Source organism: Homo sapiens, chromosome 7 (assembly GCF_000001405.40).
Source record: "Homo sapiens chromosome 7, GRCh38.p14 Primary Assembly".
NCBI lineage: Eukaryota > Metazoa > Chordata > Mammalia > Primates > Hominidae > Homo > Homo sapiens.
In genome coordinates, this window is record NC_000007.14 from 66,683,833 (window position 1) to 66,701,944 (window position 18,112).

General features: G+C 49.9%; 1 protein-coding gene across 20 annotated transcripts in view, besides 2 other annotated features; it reads left to right on the forward strand.

Annotated features, from left to right (window-relative positions):
• Window positions 1–18,112, forward strand: part of RABGEF1 (RAB guanine nucleotide exchange factor 1) — a 156,898-nt gene that overhangs the window by 29,266 nt on the left and 109,520 nt on the right. For 10 of the 20 annotated variants that reach the window (NM_001367727.1, NM_001367725.1, NM_001367726.1 and 7 more), the window contains exon 2: window positions 16,937–17,017. The exons of 9 other annotated variants lie outside the window; for them this stretch is intronic. The gene's annotated coding sequence lies outside the window, so the exon portion shown is untranslated. Of the gene's footprint in view, window positions 1–1,527; window positions 1,861–16,936; window positions 17,018–18,112 lie in introns of those variants that run through there. One more of the 20 variants, NR_104676.2, reaches the window with a different exon arrangement.
• Window positions 9,164–9,664: an enhancer, noted in NCBI's record as "H3K4me1 hESC enhancer chr7:66157983-66158483 (GRCh37/hg19 assembly coordinates)". NCBI's record gives its function as "activates a minimal SCP1, AML or CMV promoter by ChIP-STARR-seq in primed H9 embryonic stem cells {active_cell/tissue: H9 hESC(primed)}" and the evidence as "EXISTENCE:reporter gene assay evidence [ECO:0000049][PMID:30033119]".
• Window positions 13,070–13,571: an enhancer, noted in NCBI's record as "H3K4me1 hESC enhancer chr7:66161889-66162390 (GRCh37/hg19 assembly coordinates)". NCBI's record gives its function as "activates a minimal SCP1, AML or CMV promoter by ChIP-STARR-seq in primed H9 embryonic stem cells {active_cell/tissue: H9 hESC(primed)}" and the evidence as "EXISTENCE:reporter gene assay evidence [ECO:0000049][PMID:30033119]".

The following is an 18,112-nucleotide window of genomic DNA, read 5'->3' on the forward strand; positions in this document are numbered from 1 at the left end:
TGGGCTCAAGTGAACCTCCCACCTCAACCTCCCGAGTAGCTGAGACTGCAAATGGGTGCCGCCACACCCAGCTGATTTTTAAAGATTTTGTAAAGATGTTGTCTTGCTGCGTTGCCCACGCTGGTCTTGAATTCCTGGACTCAAGCCATTCTCCCGCCTCAAGTGTCCCAATGTGCTGAAATTACAGGCATCGGCTCCCGAGCCTGGAGGGTGGTTATTAAAGAGAAAAAGTACAGGACAGAGATACAGGAGCTTAGGCTTTAATCTGATGGTGACAGAACCAGGGAAGGGTTTTTAGCTGGGTCCTTATGTGGTTAAAATGGGTCTCCCTGGCTAGCTGCGGTGGCTTATGCCTGTAATCCCAGCACTTTGGGAGGCCGAGGCGGTTGGATCACGAGGTCAGGAGTTCAAGACCAGCCTGACCAACATGGTGAAACCCCGTCTCTACTAAAAACACAAAAATTAGATGGGCATGATGGCGCCTACCTGTAATCCTAGCTACTCAGGAGGCTGAGGCAGGAGAATTACTTGAACCCAGGAGGCGGAGGTTGTCTGAACCGAGGTTGCACCAGTGCACTCCAGCCTGGGCAACAGTGCAAGACTTCGTCTCAAACAAAACAAAACAAAACAAAACAAAAACAAGAAAAGGTCTCTATCTGTCGTCCAGGTTGGAATGCAATGGCAGGAACACAGCTAACTGCAACCTCTACCACCCAGGCTTAAGTGATTCTCTTGTCTCAGCCTCCCAAGTAGCTGGGAACACAGGCTTCCCACCTAGTAATTTAGCCTGATTGGCTAAATTTTTTGTTTGTTTGTTTTTGATACTGAGTCTCACTCTGTCAGCCAGGCTGGAGTGCAGTGGCCTGATCTTGGCTCACTGCAAGCTCCGCCTCCAGGGTTCATGCCATTCTCCTGCTTCAGTCTCCCGAGTAGCTGGGACTGCAGGCACCCGCCACCATGCCTGGCTAATTTTTTGTATTTTTAGTAGGGACGGGGGTTTCACCATGTTAGCCAGGATGGTCTCGATCTCCTGACCTCGTGGTCTGCCCGCTTCGGCCTTCCAAAGTGTTGGGATTACAGGCGTGAGCCACTGTATCTGGCCTAAATTTTTTTGTAGAGATGGAATCCCTATATGTTTCCCAGGGTGGTCTCCAACCCCTGGCCTCAAGTGATTCTCTAGCCTTGGACTCCCAAAGTGTTGGGATTACAAACATGAGCCACTGCACCCGGCCTTAAAATGGAATTTTATGTAGCTCTTACGTACAGGCTGCTATATAGCTGATAAGGACAAATGTTTTCAGTATAGTGCTGGATTATTTGCTTTTTTTTTTTTTTTTTTTTGAGATGGAGTCTTGCTCTGTCGCTGGGCTAGAGTGCAGTGGTTTGATCTTGGCCACTACAACCTCCACCTCCTGGGTTCAAGTGATTCGCCTGCCTCAGCCTTCTGAGTACCTGGGAATATAGGCACTCGCCACCATGCCCAGCTAATTACTTCTGTCTTGTATTTTAATCTTCTCTGCTCTTTAGATGTTTGAAGTGAGGCCAGGCATGTTGGCTCACGCCTGTAATCCCAGCACTTTCGGAGGCCAAGGTGGGAGAATCACTTGAGGCTAGGAGTTGGAGACCAGCCTGGGCAACATAGCAAGACTGCATCTCTACAAAAAAAAAGAAAAGATTCTTGAAGTGAATGTATACTCATTTCCTGGTTGTTTCTTTCTGTAAGGATGTCTGACCCAGCTAATTTGTAAACAGGAATTCTGCACTCATTTCTGTTTTTGCATTCTCAACCCCAGTTGGGCACACAAGTGTTTAATGAGTATTTAACTGATTTGATAAGAATAAATTCATTGATTTCTTTGATTTTTGTTGCTGGTTTTCAGTGAACAAAATGTTACCAGTACTTACTCATTGTGATGTCTACATATACAACTAAGATTCTGTTTACCTATGTCAGTCTCTGGCTAGAGACATAGAATTTCAGTCTTGACTGTGTGAGTTTAATTTCTGGCACGTGGGGTTTTATTGGCTGCAGAGCAAACATCTCTAGCAGAGATGACCTATCCCTCAAATGTAGGAAATACCTGTGTAAACCTAACACCTGTGACTCAGAATAGAAATGGTACCAAGTGGCTTCTTAGCCCATCAGTGAAGTTACCGCATTATAGGCCAGGTGCGGTGGCTCACGCCTGTAATCCCAACACTTTGGGAAGCTGAGGTGGGCAGATCACTTAAGGCCAGGAGTTAGAGACCAGCCTGGATCAAGACTGCGAAACCCCGTCTCTACTAAAATACAGAAAACTTAGCCAGGCATGGTGGTGTGTGCCTGTGATCTCAGCTACTCGGGAGTCTGAGGCACAAGAATCTCTTGAACCCAGTAGGTGGAGGTTGCAATGAGCCGAGATTGTGCCACTGCACTCCATCCTGGGCAACAAAGTGAGACTCTGTCTCAAAAAAAAAAAAAAAAAAGTGATCACACTAAAACCAAAAGTTTCAGGCTGGTGCAGTGGCTTATGCCTATAATACCAGTGCTTTCGGAGGCCAAAGTGGGAGGATCGCTTGAGTCCGGAAGTTCCAGGCTGCAGTGAGCTGTGATCAAGCCACTGCACTACAGCCTGCGTGACAGAGTGATACCCTGTCTCCATAAAAAGAAGTTTCATAGTACAGGCCGAACATTTTGAAAATCTTATTAAATATACACTTTTATCATAGAGCACTGTAGAAACGTGTGTTATTTCACATGGCTGAAGTGAGTTTAAATAATCTAGACTGTTGTTATAATACGTAAACATGTGAAACAACAGCTATCCTATTTAATACTATTTAACTTATGTTTATTTGTTTGATGTTGGATAAAGCTCCTAAAATGCTGTAGGAAAACATTATAGTTTTTGGTGCTGTTTTCAAGTTTCCTGTGAAATTCCTGTTTTCAATGAAGTGACTGTCAGTGGGATAGGAAGTCTAATTTTTATTTATAGTAGAACTTTTTTTTCTTTTTCTTTTTTTTTTTGAGATGGAGTCTTCCCCTGTTGCCCAGGCTATAGTGCAGTGGCGCGATCTCGGCTCACTGCAAGCTCCGCCTCCCGGGTTCAAGCCATTCTCCTGCCTCAGCCTCCCGAGTAGCTGGGAGTACAGGCACCCACCACCACGCCTGGCAAATTTTTTATATTTTTAGTAGAGACGGGGTTTCACTGTGTTAGCCAGGATGGTCTCGATCTCCTGACCTCGTGATCTGCCAGCCTCAGCCTCCCAAAGTGCTGAGATTACGAGCCACCACGCCCGGCTTTTTTTTTTTTTTTTTTTTTTCTTTTTTTGAGACGGAGTCTTGCTCTGTTGCTCAGGCTGGAGTGCAGTTGCTCGATCTTGGCTCACTGCAACCTCTGCCTCCCAAGTTCAAGCAGTCCTCCTGCCTCGGCCCCCCAGTAGGTGGGATTACAGGCATGCACCACCATGCCTTGCTAAGTTTTTGTATTTTTAGTAGAGATGGGGTTTTGCCTTGTTGGCCAGGTCAGTCTCAAACTCCTGAACTGAGGTGATCCATCCTCCTCGGCCTCCCAGAGTGCTGAGATTGCAGGCATGAGCCACCGCGCCCAGCCCTTATCTTGGATTTCCAGACTCCATAACCAAGAGAAGTAAATTTCTGTTGTTTAAGCCAAAAAAAAAAAAAAAAGAAAGAAAAAAGAAAAGAAGAAGAAGAATATAGGCTATGAGTGGTGGCATGTTCCTGCAGTCCAAGCTACTCAGGCAGTTGAGGTGGGAGGATCTCTTGAGCCCAGGAGAGATTGGTAGAATGTATTAAATGAATAGGTGGATGACAGAGCCTTGGGAAATGTAAAAAAATTAGTTAAATAAAATAAAACATGATCCATCTATATACTGTCTATAAATACAGACTTACTTTAGATACAAAGACACAATGAGATTGAAAACAAAAGAATGAAGAAATGAATTCCATGCAAAAAGTAACCAAATGAGGCCAGGCTTAGTGACTCATGCCTGTAATCCCAGCACTCTGGGAGGCTGAGGCGGGCAGATCCCTTGAGGTCGGGAGTTCAAGACCAGCCTGACCAACATGGAGAAACCCTGTCTGTACTAAAAATACAAAATTAGCCAGGCGTGGTGGTGCATGCCTGTAATCCCAGCTACACGGTAGGCTGAGGCAGGAGAATCGCTTGAACCCAGGAGGCAGAGGTTGCAGTGAGCTGAGATCGTGTTATTGCACTCCAGCCTGGGCAACAAGAGTGAAACTCTGTGTCAAAAAAAAAAAAAAAAAAAAAAGTAACCAAATGACATCAGGAGTGGCCATATGTTAGGCAAAATAGGTTTTAAGCCAACAATGGTTATGAGAGACAAGGGAATTCTATACTGATGAAAAGTTTAATCCAACAAGAAGATATAACAATTTAAACATATATGCACCTAACAACAGAGCACCAAAACATATGAAGCAAGAAAGGGTAGAATTGAAGGGAAAAGAAGAGTTTCACAGTGATCATTGGTGACCTCACTACCTCAACTTTATAACAATCAGAGACCAGATCAATAGGAAAGAGAGCACTTGAACAACATGATAATCCAACTAGATCTAATGGACATTTACAGATACCCACCCAACAACAGCAAAATACACATTCTTTTCAAGAGCATGTGGGACATTGTCCAGAGTATATAGTGTATTAGGCTGCAAAACAAGTATTAATGTTTTAAAAGATTGAAAGTATCCAAAGTGCTAAGTATTTTATAATCGTCATGGAATGAAACTAGACATCAGTAACCAGCAAAACTCGAAAACTCACAAATATATGGAAAGTAAACACACTCTTAAACAATCACTGGTTGAAGATGAAATCATACAGGAAATTAGAAAACACTTTGAGATGAATAAAAATGAAAACACAACATACCAGAATTTATGGGATGCAGTTAAAGCAGTGCTCAGAGGGAAATGTATAGCTGTAAGCATCTACCTTTAAAAATAAGAAAGCCAGGAGTGGTGGCTCATGTCAACATCCCAGCATTTTGGGAGGCCGAAGCGGGAGGATCACCTGAGGTCAGGAGTTCAAGACCAGTCTAACCAACATGGCAAAAGCCCATTGCTACTAAAAATACAAAAATTAGCCAGGCATGGTGGTGCAGGCCTGTAATCCCAGCTACTTGGGAGGCTGGGGCAGGAGAATTCCTTGAACCTGGGAGAGGGAGGTTGCAGTGAGCCGAGATTGCACCACTGCATTCCAGCCTGGGTGACAGAGTGAGACTCCATCTCAAAAAATAAATAAAAATAAAAATTAAAAGAAAGCTCTCAAATCAGTCACCTAACTATACACTTTAAAGGATCTAGAAAAGAAGAGCTAAACCCAAGCTAGCAGAATACGGGAAACAAAGATTACAGTGAAAATAAATAAAGAATAGGAAAAGAAGAGAATAGGTAGAATTAAAACTTTTTTACAGGTCAGCAAAATCGACAAGTTTTTAGCTAGATTTACTAAGAAAAAAAAAAGAAAACTCAAATAGCCAAAATCAGAATGAAAATGAGGACATTACTGTAACTTTACAGTAATTAAAGTGATTATAAGAGAATACTATAAACATAGGTACAGCAGCAAATTGAATAACCAAATGAAATGGCAAATCTCTAGAAACACAAAACCTACCAAGACTAAATCACAAATAAATAAAAAATATGGGTAAACTGGCCGGGCAAGGTGGCTCACGCCTATAATCCCAGCACTTTGGGAGGCCGAGGTGGGCAGATCACCTGAGGTCAGGAGTTAGAGACCAGCCTGGCCAACATGGTGAAATCCTGTCTCTACTAAAAATGTAAAAAATAGTTGGGCATGGTGGTAGGCACCTGCAATCCCAGCAACTCGGAGGCTGAGGCAGGAGAATCACTTGAACCCGGGAGGCGGAGGTTGCAGTGAACCGAGATTGCACCATTGCACTCCAGCCTGGGGGATGAGAGCAAGACTTCGTCTCAAAAAAAAAAAAAAGAAAATAGGGGTAAACCTATAACTAGTAAGAAGATTAAATTGCTAATTAAAATCCTCCCAACAAAGAAATACCCCTCACTGGGTGGCTTTACCAGTGACTTCTACCAGACATTTAAAGGAAAATTAATGCCAGTTTTTTGCAAACTCTTTCAAAAACTTGAAGAGGAGGAAATACTTTCTAACTCATTCTATGAGGCCAGCATTGCATTGATAACTAGAGCCAGACAAAGGCACTACAAGAAAACAACTGATCAATATTGTTTATAAACATTGATAAAAAATTCTTTTTTTTTTTTTTTTTTTGAGACGGAGTCTCGCTGTGTCGCCCAGGCTGGAGTGCAGTGGTGCGATCTTGGCTCACTGCAACCTCTGCCTCCCAGGTTCAACCAGTTCTCTGCCTCAGCCTCCCAAGTAGCTGGGATTATAGGCAAGTGCCACCACACCCGGCTAATTTTTGTATTTTTAGTAGAGATGGGGTTTCACCGTCTTGGCCAGGCTGGTCTTGAACTCCTGACCTCGTGATCCACCTGCCTTGGCCTCCCAAAGTGCTGGGATTACAGGCGTGAGCCATCGCGCCCGGCCTGATAAAAAATTCTTAAGTAAACACTGCCAAACTGGCTGGTCACAGTGGCTCATGCTGGTAATCCCAGCACTTTGGGAGGCCAAGGCAGGTGGATCACTTGAGCTCAAGAGTTCAAGACCAGCCTGGGCAACATAGTGAAACCCCATCTCTACCTAAAATACAAAAATTAGCTGGGTGTGGTGTTACATGCCTGTGGTTCCAGCTACTTGGGAGGCTGAGGTGAAAGGATCTGGGAAGTTGAGGCTGCAGTGGGCCATGATTGCATCTCTGCACTGCAGCCTGGGTGACAGAGCAAGACATCATCTTATAAAATAAATAAATAAATATTTTAAAAAATTAAATTTACAAAAAGAGAAAACACTGCCAAATTGAACTTAGAATGTTATTAAAAGGATTGTATAAGGCCAGGTGCGGTGCCTCACCCCTAAAATTCCAGCACTTTGGGAGGCTGAGGAAGGTGGGTCACTTGAGATCAGGGGTTGGAGACCAGCCTGGCCAACATGGTGAAACTCTGTCTCTACTAAAAATACAAAAAAAAAAAATTAGCCGAGTGTGGTGGGGAGCGCCTATAATCCCAGCTGCTTCGGAGGCTGGGGCATGAGAATCGCCGGAACCGGGGAGGCAGGGGTTGCAGTGAGCCGTGATCGTGCCACTGCACTCCAGCCTGGACGACAAAGCGAGCCTCCATCTCAAAAAAACAAAAAGAAAATGACAACACCAAATGTTGCAGAGGATATGGATTAGTGAAAAGTCTCATATATTGTTGGTGGAACTGTAAACTAGTAGCAACCACACTGACAGACAGTTTGACAGTTTCTTAAAGAGTTAGTTGTACACCTCCCATACCGTACATAATTCTATATATTCCTAGGCATTTACTCAAGAGAAATTAAAAATATACATCTACACAAAGACTTGAACACAAGTATTCAAAGCAGCTTTATTCCTAAAAGTACAAAACTGTACACAGCCCAGATGTCTGTACCCAGAAGAGTGGAAAATAAATGATGGTATATCCATATAGTGGGATAGTACTCAGAACAAAATATATGTAGAATCATGAATGAGTGTCAAAAAATATGCTGAGTGAAAAAAATTGGACCCAAAAAACATATACACATGGTCTGTGACTTACAATGGTTTGACTTGGGATTTTTTCAACTTTATGATAGAACAAAAGCAATATGCATTCAGTAGAAACTGTACTTCAAGTACCCATAAAACCCTCCTGTTTTTCAATTTCAGTAGCGTATCCAATAAATTACATGAGAAATTCAACATTTTATTACAAAATAGGGTTTGTGTTCAATAATTTTGCCAAACTGAAGGCTAATGTAAGTGTTCTGAGCATGTTTAAGACAGGCTAAGCTAAGGCTTGGCACCGTGGCTCACACCTGTAATCCCAACACTTTGGGAGACTGAGGCGGGAGGATCACTTGAGCCCAGGAGATCAAGACCAGCCTGAGCAATGTAGCAAGATCCCATTTCTACAAAATTAAAAAAAAAAATTAGTAAAGTGTGCTGGCACGCATCTGTAGTCCCAGCTACTGTGGAGGCTGAGGTGAGAGGATCACTTGAGGCCAGGAGGTTGAGACTGCAGTGAGCCATGATGGTGCCACTGCACTCCAGCTTGAGCGACAAAGCAAGACCCTGTTTTCTTAAAAAACAAACAAACAAACAAATAAATAAATAAATAAAAGTGTATAAATTTGTTTCATTTCTGCAGTTGCACTAGTTACATTTCTAGCACTCGGTAGCTCTACCGGCTGCCATACTGAACAATCTGCATTGGCAGATTAAGAAGTTTCATCATCACAGAAAGTTCAACTGGGCAGTGCTGTTTCGGAAGGTCCCTTGGGCACTGGGCCTCTGCTGCTCATTAGCGGACCCTTTCTTTGTTGGCTTTTTTTCCTTTCCCTGCCTCCCTCTCTTACCCATGCTTCCTGGCATCTCCTCCCATGTAAAAGTTCTGCACCTACAGCATTGTCTTAAGGTAAGAAGAACCTCAGCGAGTGCATTGAGTGATATTGGTGTGAGGTGGGGGCAGCTGGGGTGGCTCCAAGGCACAGTGGCCCTGCCAGCTGTTCCCACCCAAAACCATCACCATGAAGGAGCTGAGGGACTGTGTTCCTGCCGTCACCTCTCCAAAAGTGACAGGTAAAGGGATGGGCAGAGATTGCACAGGAAGGTCAACAATCCTGAGATCTGGGGCCGAGCAGTCCAGCCCCTCCAGTTCTAAGTGGTGGGACTGGGGAGTCAGAGGCCCTGGTCATCCCTTCCCCACCCGCCTCCCACCTAAAGCTCCCACCCACCCCTCTCTGCAGCCAAGCACTGATGTCCTACATCCCCCTGAGCCTAGGATGGGAACTCCCTCCTAAGGAACCTCCACATTCCCAAGGAGGACATGGAGACTCCAAAAAAGGAAGTGATTCCACAGAGTCCACACAGCTGCTGAGAAGTCAGCTGGCTCCTGGCACCTACATCCTGGCTGGACCCTACCCCCCAGGCTTGAGGGCTGAGGCAAGGATCATGGGAGTTTCAGGTAATACCAGGCTCAAGGCCCCCCATGCCGGAAGGGGCTGGCACCTCCCTGCTGGGGATCTTTTCTAGAGGCCCAGGCCCTCCTAGCGGGGGAAAAAAGCAGTGAGCCGGCTGGTCCCGTGGCCTTCACTCAGCTGAAAGGCACGTCGTTCTAGAAGCCCTGAGCGGGCTTCTTCATGGACAGAGCATTTGGCACAGTGACAGGGTGTAAGGGGGAGATTCGGGGACAGGGTATTTGGAACATCTCACCCTTCACCCTCACATTCCCTCCCTCCCTTGAGTGTCCAGAGCCGGGCTGAATGGGTGGCAATTGGAGACTTCACAGTCATGTATGTTTCCACCCCCCAGGGCACCATCAAAAGTAAATTAACATTTTTTCCATTTCCCCTTTATTGCAAACACGTTGAATACTGTTGCACAAACTCCGTCTCTCCCCTGGCTTCCTTACTCCCTGGTTTCCTGGCCTGGGCTTCCAGGGCAGGCCTGGCTCAGGGTGAGAAGGTAGGTCTCATGCCCCTCCCTGGGCTCCAAGACCCTGCTGCCCCCAGAGACACAGCCAAGTGTCTGGTCCCCTGACTACTCCTCCTCCCCTCCCTCGGCTGCCAGCCCTCCTGGCTCCCAGGCCCTCACCCACCCTGCCCTCTCCCATGGAGTTAAGAATCCTGGAGGAGCAAAAGTTTTCCACACTTACCAGTGCTCAGAAACATTGAGAACTTGGACCTGCTAGGGCCCAGGGCTGGGAGTGCAGCCTGGACTCAGATGGCACCATTTCAGGAGGGTCCCGAGAGAGAGGACTACGACCCTCAGGGAATCATTCATTCATTATTCATGCATTCTTTCATTTGTTCAGTAAACTCTTTCCTTTTTTTTCTTTTTTTTTTTTTTGAGACAGGGTCTCACTCTGTCACCCAGGCTGGAGTGCAGTGGCGAGATCTCGGCTCACCGTAACCTCCGCCTCTGGGGCTCAAGCGATTCTCCTGCCTCATCCACCAGAGTAGTTGGGATTACAAGAACGTTCCACTACGTTTGGTTAATTTTTTGTATTTTTAGTAGAGACGGGGTTTCACCATGTTGGCCAGGCTGGTCTCGAACTCCTGGCCTCAAGTGATCCACCCATCTGGGCCTCCCACAGTGCTGGGATTACAGGCGTGAGCCACTGCACCCAGCCTTGTTCGGTAAATTCTTGCTCTCCCTCTGCTCCAAGCCTGCAGAGAGAGCAGAAGGATCAGGCACATCCTTGCTCTCAAAGAGGTCCCAATGCAGCGGGGGACACCGTGGGGCAGCGGTGGCATCTGGCATGGTAAGTAAAGGGTGCCACGGGAATGGGAAAGATCCTGGGGAGCTTCACCAAGGAGGAGTCTTTTGACTTGGCAAGGTGGTTTGTGGAATAGTGAAGGAAGGTTCATTACAGGCAGCAGTGATGGTCGGGAGAAGATGGAGCGAGGATCAGTGAGGCACCGTTAGGAGTGATGAACCCGGGGAGTTGGACGGAACATAAGGTCTGGCTGGAAAGGTGGGAAAGGACCAGGCCACAGAGGGCCCGGCGGGGCCTGGAGGGCAGTGGGAAGCCAGCAAAGGGCATTGAGCTAAAGAGGGGCACGGTCAGGTTTGCATGAGAAGGAGTTCATGCAAGCCTTTGGCTCCCTATGGAGAACCAGCTGGAGGGGCAGGGCCCAGGAGCTAGTGACGTGGATGTCACGATACCCCGGCCAAATAGTGTGAGTTTAGGGTGAAGCCAGTGGCAGTAGGGAGAGAATGAAGTCGGAATCTCGTGGATTGGCCTTGGTCTACCAATGGGACAGAGGGTGGAGGGGAGGGGGAGGGCGGAGCCTCCGATGATGCCAGCATCACTCTCTGGGTGCTTTGGTAGGCGTCAGGGCCCTTCTCTCAATGAGGGGAACAACGGGGCTGGGGGATCAGTTAGCCCTGGACTTAGGGGTGTGTGGGCCTGTGGGTCCCCAGGTGGAGGTATCAGCCTGGTTCCGGACATGCTGGCCTGGAGCCCTGTTGAGGACGAGGCTGGTGACCCAGGGAGAGTATGGTGTCAAGCCACAGGGTGGAGGAATGGCTCAGAAAGAGGACCTTGAGGCCCTGGGTGCGGCAGCTCATGCCTGTAATCCCAGCACTTTGGGAGGCCGAGGCGGGCGGATCACTTGAGATCAGAAGGTCAAGACCAGCCTGGCCAACATGGTGAAACCTTGTCTCTACTAAAAAGACAAAGATAAGCCGGGCACGGTGGCGTGCACCAGTAATCCCAGCTACCCAGGAGGCTGAGGTAGGTCAATCACTTGAACCTGGGAGGCGGAGGTTACAGTGAGCTGAAATTGTGCCACAGCACTCCAGCCTGAGCAGCAGAGCGAGACCCTGTCTCAAAAAAAAAAGGACCTCGAGAAAGGGTCTGAGATGAGATCTGAGGGCCACTCACATGAAAGGGATGGGCAAGAGGAGCTCAGAGGAAGGCTCTGGAAGAGAGGCAGGAAGAGAGACCGTCATGGGCAGGGGCTTTGACGCAAGAGGTTCCACAGTGGCTTGGCCCACATGTCAGGGAGGAGGAGCGACCATTCAGTGACAAGAGTTGCTGCAGCCCCTGTCTGTCCATCCATCTGGGGAGGACTGGGGACAAAAGCCAGGCTGGAGAGAGTTTTGGAGAGAGTGGGTCGTGAGAAAGTGAGGGATTAGAAGTGTAGATGACTGGCTGGGCACGGTGGCTCACGCCTATAATCCCAGCACTTTGTAGACAACTGGCCAGGCGCAGTGGCTCACATCTGTAATCCTAGCACTTTGGGAGGCTGAGGCAGGAGGATCACCTGAGGTCAGGAGTTTGAGACCAGCCTGGGCAACATGGTGAAACCCTGTCTTTACTAAAAATACAAAAATTACAGGGGTGTGGTAGCGAACGCCTGTAATTTCAGCTACTCAGGAGGCTGACGCAGGAGTATCACTTACATCTGGGAGTCGGAGGTTGCAGTGAGCTGAGATCGCACCACCGTACTTCAGCGTGGGTAACAAAGCGAGACTGTCTCAAAAAAAAAAAAATAAAGTGTAGATGACTCTTTGAAGCACCTTGGCTGGGGAGAGACAGAGCTGGGTGGGGCTGGACGTGGGCCTTACAAGGGACTTTAAAATATATATATATTTTTTTCTTGAGTCAGGGTCTCACTGTTGCCCAGGTTGGAGTGCAGTGGCACAATCATAGCTCATTGCAGCCTCAAACTCCTGGGCTCAAGCTATCCTCTCGCTTCTGGCCCCCAAGTAGCTGGGATTACAAGTGCCTAACACCATGCCTGGCTAATTTTTATATTTTTGTAGAGACTGGGTTTTACCATGTTGCCCAGGCTAGTCTCAAACTCTAATCTCAAGCAATCTGCCTGCTTCAGCCTCCCAAAGTGCTGGGATTACAGGTGTGAGTCATCCAGTGTGGCCAAGGGACTTTTAAAACTTTTTAAATGAGAGAAAGTGGACCGTGGGGCTGGGCGTGGTGGCTCACGCCTGTAATCCTAGCACTTTGAGAGGCCAAGGGAGGTGGATCACTCGAGGTCAGGAGTTTGAGACCAGCCTGGCCAACATGGTCAAACCCTGTCTCTACTAAAAATACAAAAATTAGCCAGGCATGATGGCGGGTACCTGAATTCCCAGCTATTTGGGAGGCTGAGGCAGGAGGATCACTTGAACCCAGGAGGTGGAGGTTGCGGTGAGTCCAGGTCATGCCATTGCACTCCAGCCTGGGTGACAGGGCGAGACTCCGTCTCAAAAAAAAAAAAAAAAAAAAAAAGAAAAATGGAGCGTGGTCATGTGCTGAGGGCTGGGAAACACTGGCAGGCATGGGAGAGCAAAAGGAAGTCCCTGGGTGAGGTCCCTGTGTTCAGAGCACATCTGGCCCCCCATCTGGTGGATGGTTTCTGAATAAGCAAGTTATTGGGCACAGATGACAGGAGCAGGCCCAGACATGGTGCAGGTTCCCTTGGTGATGGTGGATGCAGGAAGGGGAAGAACAGCTGGCCATGGGGGATGGGGAGCAAGATACATGGGAGTCTCCATGGTGCAGCCAATGTGCGTGGAGCAGAGAGAGGACTGCAGAAGGAGGCACCCCTGACCCCATGCCCCAGGGGACCCTACTGCTGGGCACAGGTCCATCTTCCCTCTGTGTCAACCAGGAAGCACAGTCATGGTGGTGAGGGTGGAGGGGGTGCAGAGCAGGAGTGAGAGGGGCTGGGAAGAACCTCCGTCCAGAAGGCAAGAGGAGGCCTGGGCTCCAGCCCAGCCCTACCTTGGATTCAATAAGAGACCCAGAGCCGACCTCTCTGCCCCAAGAGCCTCTACTTCCCCACCTGGAGAATGGGGCCTCAGCCTCCATGTGCTGTAGGGGGCTTGCAGCGTGGCGTCTCACAAGTCTTGCATTTCAGGCCTGCAGAACACAGAAAAGTCCATACTTGGGGATTCCAGGATCCTGACATTCTATAACATAATTTCTGTGTTGCCACCAGGGATGGGTCAAACCGACGTCTCTCCCTTCACAGTGGCTCTGTCTGCCCATCCCAGCCGCCAGCTCCCCTCCCTTCCCTTCTCCCTGTCAACTCTGGGCACGGCCAGCCTCGAACACATCCCAAGTGAGCACTTGGCAGGCGGGGACCATGATTCATGCCCTTCCAGCAGGCTTCGTGGCTTGCCTGCCTGCCAGAGTAGGCAGGATATTCTTGGCCTCACCATTCACTGAGGATTAGCAGGGCGGGGGTAGCTGGGGCTGGGGGAGGCGCAGACTGTGTTCTCCGGCCTCAGCGAGGTGGGGGGTGTTCATGTTTGAAGTGGCCGCTAGGCTGGCCAGGGAGGGAACATCACCCCATAAACTGAGGTCACGTCTGGGACTCAGCAGAACTGCGGTGGGGCCATCGGAGGAAGGCTGCCACCTGCTTCATGTCCAGGGAAAAAAGGTCCAGGAGTCCGAGAGCAAGTGAGGCTGCTCACCTCAAACCCCTGATCCTATTTCCCTCCATGAGCCTCTTCCTTATTGGGAAGCCCGGCCCTCTCCATCCCCACTACCTAGGCTGGGCCAGGAGTTTGAAGCCAGCTCCCAAACAGCCAAGGAACAGAGAAGTCAGCAGCCTCCAGCCACTCCCTCCCGCTGCCCACCCCAGCTCCCCAAATTCCCCATCACAGCCACGCACCCCCCCCACCCTCAGACCAGTACTTCAGGATAAACCTGGAGCTCCCAGGATAAGGCTGTGCCTCCCGCATTAGACCATCATTTCAGAGCAAGACTATGTCTCCCTAAAACCAAGTGTCCTGAGCCTCACCAGTGCATGCACAGCAAGGCCAGCGTCCCAGGCTAGGGCCATGCCCCTTAGACCATGGTTCCCAGCCAGAGCTCTACCTCCTCCCTCTGATCAGAACCCCCAGGGCAAGGCCTGTCTCCCCATCAGGGGTGACAAGAGAGGACTGGATCATCAAAGTGGGCAGCCCACGAAAGAGAGTCAGAGGAGAGTGCAAGGTCCCCACCCACCATGGGCTCACCTGGGCCCAGAGGAATCCGTTATTTCTAGGTCAGGCGCAAACAGTTCCTTGGTTTGGAGCAGGAGCCCGGGTCTGGACGATGGGTGAGGGGAGGTGATTTTGGAGCAGGGTCTCTGGGCAGGGAGGGGCCAGGTTTGCTCAGGGCAGAGGCAGCAGTTTAGCCTCTGCTGGTGGCAGCTCTCCCCACTCCCTGCAAGGCTGCGGTGATCCCCTGTGAAAATGCATTGTCCCCCTCCTCCAGGGCTCCAAGGTGCTGTCCCCAAGCAGTCATCACCCCAGACCTGGGTCTCTGAGTCTCAGTGTGGGTGGGTCTGACTCTGCCACCCAGGGCTCCAGCTTTGTGTCAGACCCACGGGAGTTTCACTCCTGACTCCACCCTGGTACTCCTCCACCTTTCTAACCTCGGTTTTCCTCATCTGGAAAATGGGGACAGGGACACCTACAGCAGGGGGTTCCATGGTGTGCTCTTTCCCCTTGGCTGGTCACAAGTAACTCCGGTGACTGCAGGGCCAAGGTGCAGGAAGCAACAAAGCTGAGTCCAGCCCGTCCTTCAGTCCCACATGCAGCGCTGGGACCTCTGGGAAGTCACTGAGACAGAGCCGCATGGAGGAGCGGGGAGATATCTGGCTGGCCTTGGGAGGGTTGGCCTTGGTAACCTGTGGGGAGGCGAATTCCAGGCCCCTCTGGGTTTCCTCGTGGGTCCATTCTCTCCCCCGAGCTCTGGCTTGAGCACCTGGCTAGAGCCCCTCTCCAGGGAGAGCTAGGGACCCATGTCCAGCCCAGGAGGAATGGGGGGCACGGGGCATACATTCTTCTTTTTCTGCCTCATTCTCTGTTCCCCTAGACCGGGAGACAAAGGACTGGATTTGAATCCTGTCTTTGCCTTTCACCAGATATAAGGCATTGGGCAAGGTATTGAATCTCTCCAAGCCTCAGTTTTCTCATCTGTAAAATGGGAGTGGCTGGGTGCAGTGGCTCACACCTGTAATCCCAGCACTTTGGGAGGTCGAGGCGGATGGACCACCTGAGGTCGGGAGTTCGAGACCAGCCTGGCCAACGTGGTGAAACCCCGTCTCTACTAAAAATACAAAAAATTAGCCGAGCGTCGTGGCAGGCACCTGTAATCTTAGCTACTCGGGAGGCTGAGGCAGAAGAATCACTTGAACCTGGGAAGAGGAGGTTTTGGTGAGCTGGGATCGTGCCACTGCACTCCAACCTTGGTGACAGAGCAAAATTCCATCTCAAAAAAAAAAAACAAAACTGGTGTGGTAGTGTGCACTTGTAGTCCCAGCTACTCGGGAGGCTGAGGCAGGAGGATCACTTGAACCCAGGAGGTTGAGGCTGCAGTGAGCCAAAGTCATGCCACTCCACTTCAACCTGAGTGACAGAGAGAGACCCTGTCTCAAAAATAAAATAAAAATAAAATGGGAATGATAGCAAACCCAGGGCCATTGGAGAATGACATGGGCTAAGGCAGGAAAGAGCCTGTCCCTGTCAGATGGGAACAGCAAATGTGGGCACAGTTATCTTCATCCTCTCCGGGCTCCTCTGAGGAGCACCCAGAGACCCCAACTCAGGGGAGGCAGTGCAAACCAGGGACCCCCAAGTTCCTGGCCCAGAGCCCCTGCTGGAGAGGGACAAGAGTCCTCAGCCCTGAGCATCACTGAGGCTTGGGTGAAGGGAGGGACGGAGGCCCAGCCAGACCCTGCACATTCCAGCCCTGGTTCATTCTGGATCCAAGCACTGAGATCTCTCCCTACCAGGGCACCCAGCCAAGCCCCACTGCGATGGGGCCAGATCCAGAGGACAGCCCTACTGGGCCGGAGCTTGCTCTCTGCTCAGTCCTTAAAAGTCCATCGGCCTGAGCTCCTCTTTCGCCTTGAAGGGGTCCTGCCTGTGTAGGGTTGCGTTCCTGACATGCCATGGATGAGGGAGTGACTAGAGGTCTCCCCGGAAAGTGTTTGACTCCAGGTCAGATCCTGGGAAAAGGCCACAGCCCCAGGACCTGGAGCCAAGGGACTGAGGGCCAAGCGGGCCCCGGAGGGGGAGGTAGGGGAGGGGAAAGGGGAGTTGGGGGAGGGGACTTAGTAAGAGGGTACAGCTCAATTAGCTGGGACAGTGAGGAGGAGTAAAGGGGCTTAGGGGTGTGGAAGGGAGCTCAATGGAGAAAAGGGGTTCGTGCGTAGCAGGGGGCCCAGGCTTTCCCTCCCTGGTCACACTTCTGCCACTCAGCTCTCTTCACACCACCCACCCTAAGCCGTGCCCTCTGACCTCCCACCTGCCTGGGGCTGACCACTCTGCCTTGTCTCTTTCCATCCAGGGCCTTGGGAACTCCAAGACAGAATGGCCCGAGGCCTGGACACTCTCTGAGGACATCTCTGCAAAGGCCCCAGCGGCCCAGGCCAGTGGGATGCGGGCTGCTGGCCCTGTCCAGACTCTCATACTGTGGGGCAGGGTTGCAGAGGCCCCTCCCTGGGTTTGCTCTGGGGTGGCAGAGAGCCATTGTGAGTCAGTTCAGTGTGGTGGGCAGCGCTGTCTTGCAGCCCAAGGAAGCCGTCCTGGAGGAGGGAGCCTGACCCTCCAGCTGGGCTTGAATGAGGAAGAGGCTAGATAGAGGCCTGGCAGTGGGGCAGGGGTGGGGACTGTTTGTGAGCAGCCGTGTGGCAGGTATGATAGGAAGAAGGACTGGAGGGGTAGACAGGCACTGCCATCCATAGCCTGGAAAGTGTCACCAACAGGGCAGGATTTCATCCGAGAAGTAACAGGGAGGCTGGGCACAGTAGCTCAGGCCTGTAATCTCCACGCTTTCAGAGGCTGAGGCAAGAAGATGGCTTGAGCCCAGGCGCTTGAGACTAGCCTAGGCAACATAGCGAGACCTCCACCTCTGCAAAAAAATTTAAAAAATTAGCCAGGCATGGTGGCGCACACCAGTAGCCCCAGCTACTAGGGAGGCTGAGATGGGAGGATCTGAGCCCAGGAGGTTGAGGCTGCAGGGAGCTGTGATTGTACCAGCACACTCCAGCCTGGAGGACAGAGCGAGACTCTGACTCTTTTTTTTTTTTTTTTTTTAATTTTTTGAGACAGAGTTTCGCCCTTCTTGCCCAGGCTGGAGTGCAATGGTGTAGTCTCAGCTCACTGTAACCTCCACCTCCTGGGTTCAAGCAATTCTCCTGCCTCAGCCACCCAAGTAGCTGGGATTACAGGTGCCTGCCACCACCCCCAGCTAATTTTTGTATTTTTAGTAAATACAAGGTTTCACCATGTTGGCCAGGCTGGTCTTGAACTCACGACCTCAGGGATCCACCCACCTCAGCCTCATTTATATTGATTTGTAGGAGCTATTTATAGATTCTGGATACAAGTTCTTTATCAGATATATGGTTTGTGACTATTTTCTTATAAGTCTGTGGTTTGTTTATTAATTTTTTTATTGATGACTGTTTTTAAAAATTGTGGTTAAGTATACATGACATAAAACGGATCATCTTAACCATTT